This window comes from Homo sapiens, chromosome 9 (genome assembly GCF_000001405.40).
Source record: "Homo sapiens chromosome 9, GRCh38.p14 Primary Assembly".
Lineage (NCBI taxonomy): Eukaryota > Metazoa > Chordata > Mammalia > Primates > Hominidae > Homo > Homo sapiens.
The window spans coordinates 114,047,765-114,058,869 of NC_000009.12; the positions used below are offsets into that span (position 1 = coordinate 114,047,765).

The 11,105-nt window shown below is 51.1% G+C and overlaps 1 protein-coding gene across 50 annotated transcripts in view; it reads left to right on the forward strand.

Moving 5' to 3' along the window:
* Positions 1-8,829, forward strand: part of ZNF618 (zinc finger protein 618) — a 180,285-nt gene extending 171,456 nt beyond the window's left edge. For all 50 annotated transcript variants that reach the window (XM_005251692.4, XM_017014242.3, XM_017014241.3 and 47 more), the window contains 2 exons: positions 129-230; positions 887-8,829. In XM_005251692.4, coding sequence (XP_005251749.1) covers positions 129-230; positions 887-2,403 — 1,619 coding nt within the window. In that variant the 3' untranslated portion in view covers positions 2,404-8,829. The remainder of the gene's footprint in view (positions 1-128; positions 231-886) is intronic.
* Positions 8,830-11,105: the final 2,276 nt, after the last annotated feature.

Sequence of the window (11,105 nt, forward strand, 5' to 3'; positions counted from 1 at the left end):
GATTTTAACCCAGGCCTGAGTCCCAATGGCCACATTCTGCTGTTACCCACCACACTCTAGTTCTCATCTCGTTCCTCAACAGGCCTCTTACCCTTCCAGGTAACACACTGTCCCCTTTGTGCCCACAGCTGACAATGAAAACAACATTGCCTCCAACCAGTCCCGATCGCCACCTGCTGTTGTAGAAGAGAAGTGGAAACCTCAGGCCCAGAGGAACAGTGCCAATAACAGTAGGTCTCCCCAAGCAGGGCTGGACCTGAGGGTCCCCTTATGCTCCAGTTGTTCCTCTCTGCCCCCCATTCCCACCATTTGTGCTTCCTGTGATGTTGTAAGATGATGCATGATAGTTTCCAAAGCACTTTTACACCTAAGACCTTATTTGCAGGAGTTCTTAACTCAGGGGATGGGCAGAAGGAGGCCCAGGGAGAGGAGGTGACTTTTTTTGTGGTCAGAAAGCACCAATTTGTGGCAGAATCAGAACTAGAACCCACCTCTCCACAATTTCTGCTGGTTGCTCTTTCCTGACATGATGATCCCATGTATCTTATTTCCTGAAGATTCCCATATTAGAGGAGATTCCTGTATTGAGGAAGAAATTAGACTAGTTGGCTTCAAAGATCTAGGGGAATGACATAGACCGCAATTATGTTGCATACATACCACTACATTCTATTCCCATGCTCATGGCAGGCCTTACTAATCAATCATAGAACTTTATCCCTGTGAGACCATCATATATTAAAGGCAGCCAGCACCACCCATGTGTGTGCAAGAGGAAATATATTTGCCATTCCCAATACTAGATGTTTAGAGTGTTAGGCTACTGCCACTCCAAGCAGCCTTGAATGCCAGAATTAATCCCATCTGTCTTTGTGTCCTCTGCCAGCCACTACCAGTGGTTTAACACCCAACAGCATGATCCCCGAAAAGGAGCGGCAGAACATCGCAGAGCGGCTGTTGAGGGTCATGTGTGCCGACCTGGGTGCACTGAGCGTGGTCAGCGGGAAGGAGTTCCTGAAGTTGGCCCAGACCTTAGTAGACAGTGGTGCCCGCTATGGGGCCTTCTCGGTCACTGAAATCCTGGGCAACTTCAACACGCTGGCGCTGAAGCACCTGCCACGCATGTACAACCAGGTGAAGGTGAAAGTGACCTGTGCCTTGGGCAGCAATGCCTGCCTAGGCATCGGTGTCACCTGCCACTCCCAGAGTGTTGGCCCTGACTCCTGCTACATCCTCACAGCCTACCAGGCCGAGGGCAACCACATCAAGAGCTATGTGCTTGGTGTGAAGGGTGCGGACATTCGCGACAGCGGTGACCTTGTGCACCACTGGGTGCAGAACGTGCTGTCGGAGTTCGTGATGTCGGAGATCAGGACAGTGTACGTGACGGATTGCCGGGTGAGCACGTCCGCCTTCTCCAAGGCCGGCATGTGCCTTCGCTGCTCAGCCTGTGCCTTGAACTCGGTGGTGCAGAGCGTGCTGAGCAAGCGGACACTGCAGGCCCGCAGCATGCACGAGGTCATCGAGCTGCTCAACGTGTGCGAGGACCTGGCGGGCTCCACGGGCCTGGCCAAGGAGACCTTCGGGTCGCTGGAGGAGACGTCTCCACCACCCTGCTGGAACTCGGTGACGGACTCACTGTTGCTGGTGCATGAGCGCTATGAGCAGATCTGCGAGTTCTACAGCCGGGCCAAGAAGATGAACCTCATCCAGAGCCTCAACAAGCACCTGCTCAGCAACCTGGCGGCCATCCTGACGCCGGTGAAGCAGGCAGTCATCGAGCTGAGCAACGAGAGCCAGCCCACCCTGCAGCTGGTGCTGCCCACCTACGTCAGGCTGGAGAAGCTGTTCACGGCCAAGGCCAACGACGCAGGCACTGTCAGCAAGCTCTGCCACCTCTTCCTGGAGGCGCTCAAGGAGAACTTCAAGGTGCACCCGGCCCACAAGGTGGCCATGATCCTGGACCCGCAGCAGAAGCTGCGGCCTGTGCCACCCTACCAGCACGAGGAGATCATCGGCAAGGTCTGTGAGCTCATCAACGAGGTGAAGGAGTCCTGGGCCGAGGAGGCCGACTTCGAGCCCGCTGCCAAGAAGCCCCGCTCTGCTGCCGTCGAGAACCCCGCAGCTCAGGAAGATGATCGGCTAGGCAAAAATGAAGTGTACGATTACCTGCAGGAGCCCCTCTTCCAGGCTACCCCTGATCTCTTCCAGTACTGGTCGTGCGTTACCCAAAAGCACACAAAACTCGCCAAGCTCGCCTTCTGGCTCCTGGCGGTTCCGGCCGTGGGCGCCAGAAGCGGGTGTGTAAATATGTGTGAACAAGCGCTTCTAATCAAACGGAGGCGGCTGCTCAGTCCAGAAGATATGAATAAACTCATGTTTCTGAAATCCAACATGCTTTAAGACTTGACTTCGGGGGAAAAAAAAAGAAAAAGAGAAGATAACATTAGAAAAAAACCACACAACACTGTCACAAAGAAAAGGAATTTAAGTTCTAAACACTGTGGACCTCATTATAAATGCCCCCTGGAAACTTAAGTGCTTTTTTTATATGTGTGTGTGTGCGTGTATGTACACAGCCACACGTGTGTGCACGTGTCTGAACACGTGCTGTGGTTGTGGGGGTGTGGGGGGGTCTCTGTGCTCATCTCCATGGCCAGAGAAACTTTGCACACACGCACACACACACACACACACACACACACACACACGACCCTGGTGCGTGTACATACGCCTGTGCTTGGACGGGTGTGCATTGAACTGGGCGTGTCAGGAAAGCTGAGCGATTGGGAAAGAGGGAGATGTTTCACCTCCTTTTCTCAGTAAGGGGGCTTTAGAAGACTCCGCTTTCAGGTGTGCAGATTGGCAGAAAGCTGATGTTGTGAAATGTTCAGGCAGCTGAGATCTGAAGTGACTTGACGCTCTCTGTCCTTCACCCCGGTCCTCCTTTTCCCTCTTTGACCCTCTTCCAGCCCTCCTACCCTCCTGATCCCATTGTGCACCCCCCCACACACTCGGCTGCTCTGCTGTGGACTCTCCACACTGCATCAGATGGACGGTTTCTGCACTGGACTTTGTTTCTTGTTCACCTTCAGGGCATTGAGCTGCTGCCTTTGAGATACCCCTTGGGTGTCCCGGGGCAGCCGCCTTAGAAACACACCTATCTATCTCCCCAAATCAGGAAAGGAGACTTAAAGAGTATAAAGCTGACATTTTGCTTTTTAATATAAGAGAGGAGAAAAAGACATTTTTCAGAGAAGTATAGATACTGTCTCCACTCCCTAATAATTTCTCTCCCTAACATTTTAGCAATTTTTACCTTGTTTGGGGGTTCATTTTGTTTCTTCAGATTTGATTTAGACTCTGCTAGGAGGCACTGAATGTCTATAACTTATGTTTTGGAGTTTTGTTTTTTTACTTGCCCCTTTTGTTCCTCAAGTCACACTGTAAACTAGCTCATCTCTGTGGTGTACTCAGTATCCTACAGTCTTTCTTGGCCTTCCCTGTACAGTTCAGTTTTCACATATTCGAACGGCCAAGACCAGGTTCTTGGCTGTGCTATTTGGAGACCAGGCGTTGGGGAGGATTCACGGGTTCCACAGCTGCGGGGTTTGGTGGCCGTAGGGGAAGCAGTGGTTTGGGAGTTCTGAATGTAAGCGCCAGAGCTGCCCTCCTGGTCCGCTGTGCGTGGTACCCAGTGTGCATCACACTACTCACCCCCTCCCGGACCCTGGCAGTCCACAGCGACTCCGAAGTCAGCCCATAGTCACATCCACCACACCTCAGACCTGCCACAGCCTCTCCTCACTTCCCAGGACCCTGAGGCTTCCAGGAGCTCTGCTGCCCACAGCCCTCGGGGTCCTCACTCACACCTCCGACTTCCAGGACGGCAGTGAGCATGGTGCCTTGTGGCCCCAACAGTTGATGTTCCGAGGGTGGGATGGTGTTTGGCCATGTTCGACTCGATGCTGTGAAAGATGTCTTCAGGCTTTTCTCTCCTGTTCCCCCAGCTGTGAGCAAATTAGGTTCTACACACACAGTTCGGATGCCAAGGGTGACACCCCATTCCCTTCACAAGAGGCGGTTCTGTCACAAATCAGCACTCCACCCCCACCACACCTCTCAGTGAATGAAGTGCTGGTGGTCTCACTCCCCTGGTGACCCTTAGCCGTGGGATGGGGTGGTTACACTAAGGCTTCAAGCTGAGAATGGCCATCATGGCGGGAGGCTGTTTGCAAAGGCACCTTCTGTCATCCTGGGGTTGGCTAAGTCAACTCCACCCCTTCCCAATAATAAAGCATCACTCAACTGTGAGATACCTCGACTACAAAAAGCACTGTACCACAGCCCTCTCCCCCTGGGTCCATGACAGGAGCAGGGAGTAAAGTTGATTGCAAACCTCATGAAGGCTTAGGATCATGGACCTGGAACATAGTGTTTGGGGGCCAAGCCTGCACACTTTGCCTCATGAGAACTCACCCAGCTCTCCCCTTGAAACTTGGACACACTGAAATGGATCAAAGTGGGCCATTTCCACATTTGCTCCAGCAAACTGTGGTCTCAGGAACTACCATGCCATTTCCTCTCCTGGAGAAGTTCTAGGTATTACCTCCACAACATTTCCAACTGGGGGACTGAGCCCACTTATCAGAGAAGAGCCGCCATCCACACTGGAGCAGGAACAGGGAGAAATCCAGACAGGAACCTCATGTCACTTCCTAGGGAATATGGGAAGAAACATCAGCAGACTTTATGATGTCAGTTGGGCCTTTGGAGGCATTCTGGAAGGTGGCCTCAGCATCACTGATGATTGACAGATGCTACAGCAAAAGGTCCCTCTAGCGTTGCTTGACTGCTGGGGAAGGGACAGTGACCGGCACTTTGACCCACACAAGGATAGGAGCTGCCTACTTTGTGTGGTAGGTGAGAGCAGAGCCTGGGAGCCCATCCTCCCTCTACTTGGAGCAAAGTTGTGCTGGTGATGCCCCATTATTGGGCCAGTTGATTAGAAAATAGGCATTTCACTTTCTTGGAAAGCCATCGGACTAAGCCCAGATGTGCATTTAGAGCACTCAGCATTCTTCTCTTTGAAGCATGGGATGTCTGTCCTCCAGGAAGAGATTTGATCTTAGGTTGTTACCTCCCTTTCACTTCTTTTCCACCTCAATTCAATACTTAGGGGTTGGCTTGCCTCTGCAGGTTTGATGTGAATGCCACTGGGTACTCAGAAAGCTGTCCTCTGGGGCTGCCTTGTCCAGTTAGATAACAAGATAGCAGATGATTGTTTCTTGCAACCTCTGGTTCCCTCCGGAAACTGGTGTCACCAACAGGAAAGGCTGTACCAAGGTGCCCTCTTCTCAGACAGGCTGTTCTCAGAGTGCAAATCCTGCTGCAACTAACAGCTTAATAAAACCCAAAGATCTCACAGGTCCAGCCACTGGCCCCTTTATCTCCAACAATATCCACCTCACCAAATTCTAGTTCAGCCAAAGGATTGAGACAGGCTCTTCCAGTTCATCTCCTGGTGTCCAGCCTGACCTTCACATCTGGAAGGATTTTGTCGTCTGCCTCCCAGTTCTGGGTCCACTGTAGGTCTTTCCATCACAAGCCTTTGGGGGATCTGGGACCAGGAATTTGGGCCGTTTCTACCATATTCTCAGCAGCCTAAGGTGGTGGCCTGCTGATGTGGAGACTACTCACCTTGAGCCATGTGGTCCCCAGGACAGAAATGGCCTTTGTTTTGACATACATGGACCCAAAAGGGGAGGTGAAGAAAACACACCTCCACCTGGCAAGTTTTTCTCCCTCATCTGAGGTCAGTTGCTTCACCAACAAAGCCCAAGCCAAGAACTGCAGCGTTGAGGGTTGTCCCTCGGAGTGGAGTAGCCCAAGGAATCTCAGGTCCACCAAGAGCATTGGTACCATCTGGGCCACGGGTGGATGCCTTTGTTCTGGCACAGTTCTCCACTTCCCGATTCCTGGCTCAGCCAGCCAGGCCTCCCTCTAATGGCATTTAGTAACCAGGAAACAAAACACATGCCACCTGAGCAAAACTGCCTGCACTTCATCTCTGGAGGTTCGCTGCACAGAGGCCACCTGCCGCATCACCAGTGAGGAAGCTTTGCCACCATCCTGCTTGGCAGCTTCACACTTGACATCTGAGGATTGGTTTTTGGCTGGAAAAAGGGTACCAGGGTTTCCTGGCAAGGACAGGAGAGCAGTGCAGTGACACAGATGAGAAGCTGTGAGTCTCCAGGATTCAAGGAAGCCACCAGGTGTGCAGGCTGGGAAGAGACATCTCTTTCAGTTTGACCCTTTATCTCCTGCACTTTTAAAGAAACACCAGAGAAAAAATCTACAAGGCGTGTTTCCACTGAAGCTGAACCTCTGCCTTTAGGAGTCCCCTATATTTGAGCAAGGCCACCTGCTTCCCCTGGACTTGAGCTGGACTCCTTGAAGAGTGGGCTTCTGGAGAGATGTTAGGAATATAGCACATGCTCTCTGGGGGCCACAGGGTCATTGGGAAGGTTTGAAATGAAGATGGGATGTGGCTGGAACAGCCTGTGAGATGGCTCCATTGGGGACACTCCCCTCATCTTGTCATCACGATGGATATGCTGGAAGAGGAGGTGTCCCAGTGAGCCGCCCGAAGTTCATAGCTTTGCCCTCGCCTTGGCAACAGCGGCAATGCCTCTATCTCTGGGATGCATCTTAAGGAGGGCTCCTAACAAGGCCGATGATTTAGACAGAACAAGAGACTAAGTAAGGTCCGGCTATCCCGTGGAGCCAGTAGTAGGTGGGAGCTCCTGTCCCCGCCAGCCCTGCTCCAGCCCCCGTGTCCAGCTGGGCCAGTGGAAGAACTGGGAAGGAGGAAGCCCCTCCCTTTCACTGTGGCTAATGTTTGCTAGGCCAGTTATGGTGAACCAATGATACAGTGTTTTCCCTCTTAACGTTCCCCTCCTGGTTTTGCCTTTTCAGGGTTTTCTGGGGGATTTTGTTGTAGTAGTTGCTTTTCTTCCTCTCTCATTTGGGTTTGAGGATTGTGGTCGGGGGAGCCCTGGCTTTCACCAAAGGAGCCCAGTGGTTTCTGTGGAAGAGGCGCCCACTCCCACTTTAATGAGGGTGAAGATTGTCAGGTCACTGTTTGACATATTCATGCCCCGTCCCTTCCCCCCCCACCCCCCCGCCCACCCACCACGGGTGTCGCTTTAAAGAGTCAATTCTTGTACAGAGAAGGATTTGCTAGGTTTGCATTTGGGTGTTAGCATCACGACCCACGAGGGCCCTGCCCAACCGTGCGTCCCATGGGGCACCTTGACTCTTCAAACCAAAATTCCTTAAAGGGGCACAGCCCAGCCTTGTCCGCAACCTCAGGGGCCTGGGATTCCTGTGGCGCTTCCTGAATTCCAGGTTGGCACAGATGATGAGGTCTGAGACCAGCCGGAAGGAGGGGCTCCTGCCATAACCCAGGTGCCAGCCGGTCTCCGCCTAGGACCTTCCCTCCCGCCCAGCCAGGGTGGGCGGCATCCTACGCGGTGAAACGAGCTCATGGACTGACCCGGGGCTGGGCCTCGCCAGCCAGGAGAGAGCGAGGGCCGCACGGCAGGGCTGGCCCAGGCAGCTCGTCCAGGGCCATTCAGATCCCAAGCATCAGGAAATCATTTTGTACAACCACCCGAAGCAGAGATATTTTTTAAGAAGCGTAAATTATTTTCAGTTGTTTTCTGATCCTGCCTTTTTCTTTTCCCCACAACTTCACGCCAGTGAGTCGTTCACATCAGGTAAATCTTGAGAAAGCCTTGGTGCCCTCCTCCCCACCCCCCACTCAGTAACCACGTGCGTGCACCCCCGCATCCTTTCTCAGTAGTTAAGACGTTCTAGGCAATACCATAGACACATCTGACTGTGTCTCTCTCTTTGAGTGCAAGAAACTCAAGTCATCTTAAAAAAAAAAAAATACAAAAAAAATTTACAAAAAAACAAACACAAAAAAAATATCTTTTTTAGGCCAGAGTTTTCTACAGGTATTAATGAATATTTTTCTTAATCCTTATAAGTTTTATGTGTTTAATATTTCTTAATACCGGTAGCATTAATTTATACTTTTGTAGCAACACAATATTTTTATAAACAGCCGGTGCTTGGCTCAAGTCTTCACGAGGGGTTTAGGCAGGGCCATCTTGGGGACCCTGTGTACCATGTACTGTATTTAAAAAAAAAAAAAGTTACCTATTGTCACACTTGCTGTGTTAATTAACAAAAGATGTTGTGTGCGGTCTCCTGTATCGGTGTGGATCCAACAGCTCTCCAGGGAGTCACATTGCATGGGGGTTGAGTTGACGGTTCTTGTGATATGTAAACCCCCGAGACCAAACTTGAGGGTTTATTTAGGGTTTTCTGTTTGTCCTTTGGGTTTTTGTTTCACTTTGTTTTGGTGCCGTTTCTCCATTTACAGCCAAATCAGTTTCATGATGTTCAAAACATTTACTGATGTCAAATGGAGGAAAGGAACAGAAAAAAAGATTTTTACAAAGTAATAAAATTTAAAACTGAGCTGTTTAATGTTGCTGTTTTTACCTGTCTGTTCTTGTCCAAAAGTGGAACATTCCCAGGGAGAAGAGGAAGGTTCCACTCGGTTCTTTAAGTCGCCAAAAGCCCCAGCCCGGGATTCAGTACCTCCCCTGCCCCCCGAATTCTTGCAGCACTATTTCCCAGTTGGTTGATGCCAAGGCAAAAAGATAACTTTTAACAGTTAGAGAGGATCAGTTGCTTAAATGATTTCATGTCAGTGTTGTATTTATGGTTTTACAATAAAACAACCTTTAGGAAGATGCAGCGTATGGTGTTTTTTTTCTTGGGTTTGAGGATGGGCCATACTGTCCAGTTAGGAGCAGAGCACCTGCAGGGCCCAGGTGAGTGGAGATGGGCCAGAGACAGGGCACCTGGGGTGACAGCACACATCCATCCCAGCGGGACACTGTGTGATGCTGGCATCGTTGACTTAACTGTGGTGATGGTGGTATCAGTGACTTACCTGTGAGCTCGCAGCTCATCTCTTGCACCAGACCTGGCTCAGCCAGTGTTTGATAAATGAGGGAGGGACATGGTCGAGGAAGATGTGACCCTCCTGGGCTTGTGGAGCATTGTCCCATGGAGGAAGGGATGGATTTAGTCTCCATCCTCCAGGTCTAATGCCTCAGGCGTATGTGCAGGTTGGCCCTGCCCTGCGGTCATCGCGAGGCTCCTGTGCCCCTTTACCTAGTGGCTTTGGCCCCCTAAATGGTGTGTGTGTGTTATAACTGTTGTATGTATCATCCATGTGCTGGGGAAGAGTGTCCATGGCTTTTGCCAAATTCCTGATGGCATGAGGGACTCTGAACAAATTAGAAATCAGCGCCCTCCACCATGAGCTGCTAGAGGCCAGCCCTGGTGGGCTCACCAAGCCTGATGCCGTTCAGATGTGCAGACACCAATGTTCTTCTGGAATAGAAGCAAACCAAAGGCCAGTCAAGGGAGAAGAGAGACCAGCAGGCAAGCTGGGGCCTGAGCAGGAGGGGGTGACCACTCCTCCTAGTGGGCCCACTGTTAGAACAGCCCCTTAAGAGGTGAAGCCGCCATCCTGCCATCAAGGTGAGTGAGTGACAGACACCCCAGGCCCTGGCTTGACACCATCTTTACCAGGTGTGGGCAACTCTGCTTCAAAGTAGAGGATGTGTTACTTGATCACCTGGAAAAATTCCATCAAACCGCACGTGTAACAGCACAAAGAGCCCATTGGAGCACCAGCCCTGCCCTCAAAACCATCCTGCCTTAGGAGTTTCATGCTAAGAGAACTGTGTGGATGTTCTGAGCCGATGATTGAAGTTTAATAGAGGAGTTTCTATGTAGCCTACAATGAAGTCAGGAGTCCTGCTGTGGCCGAAGGAATCCTCCTCCACACTCTTGAACATTGCAGTCAAATAAGGCCAGGGCATGGCCCGGGAGCCCTCACAGCTGAAGGAGCAGCCTCTGGATTGAAAAAAAATGCTTTCAAAAGGGGGGGGGGAAAGATGTTTCTTTATTAAGCAGCTGCAGCTACATTTATTTTGTAATGGAAATAAATGAGTGTGCCCAGCACCTTTGAAAGAGAAATTTGAGGTGAGACTATTTAAGAATGGAGTGAATCGTCAAGGTAAGTGTGTCCACTGTGCGGAGAAAGATTCCTGGCACCTTCTGAGGTGAGCATTGTGAATTCCTCAGACTCGGGGTCACAAGGTGCCGCTCCCCCATCCGACCCCTGGGGTTTAAAAGCTAGGGTGCATTGATTTTTAAATTTATTTTTAGTGAAAAGTTATAGCAAGTGTCACAGAGTCAAATGCCCCTGGACCAGGCAGGTCGGTGAGCAGAGCTGGTTACACAAGGTGAGGCCCTTCCGGTGGGGGGGAGGGGGGGGGCATCTCTGCTAAGCCCCAGCTCATCGTTGGCATCAGGATGCCAATTATTTTTAAGAGAACTGAGAAACCCAGATTTTTATGTGGAAACTCAGTTTTCGAGTGACGAATTCAGAGCTGTGAAAAAATACCTCGGCCAGGCGTGGTGGCTCATGTCTGTAATCCCAAGACTTTGTGAAGCCAAGATGGGAGGATCGCTTAAGCTCAGGAGTTCAAGACCAGCCCAGGCAACATGGTGAAACCCCGTCTCAACAACAAAAATACAAAAATTAGCCAGGCATGGTGGCACGCGCCTGTAGTCCCAGCTACTCAGGAGGCCGAGGTGGGAGGATCGCTTGAGCCCAGGAAGTCAAGGATTCAGGGAGCCAAGATCATGGCACTGCACTGCAGCCTGGGTGACAGAGCGAGACCTTGTCTCAAAAAAATAAAATTTAAAAAAATACCTCGTGAGCAACGTTTCCTTCCACCAGCTGAAGCTGGCCTGTACACCTGCAGCTCACACCCTCCAATTTAAACATTTTATCTTTCAGTTCAAGTCACTTCAAAATATCACTCTTCAACATGGCCCCTTCAAACTGCCGTGGCTGGCTGGCCCTGGTATGGGAGGCACGTGTGGAAGGAACAGGATGTGGACACAGGATGGGAGGACCTTTGTTAGTCCCAGGCCGGAGGGCC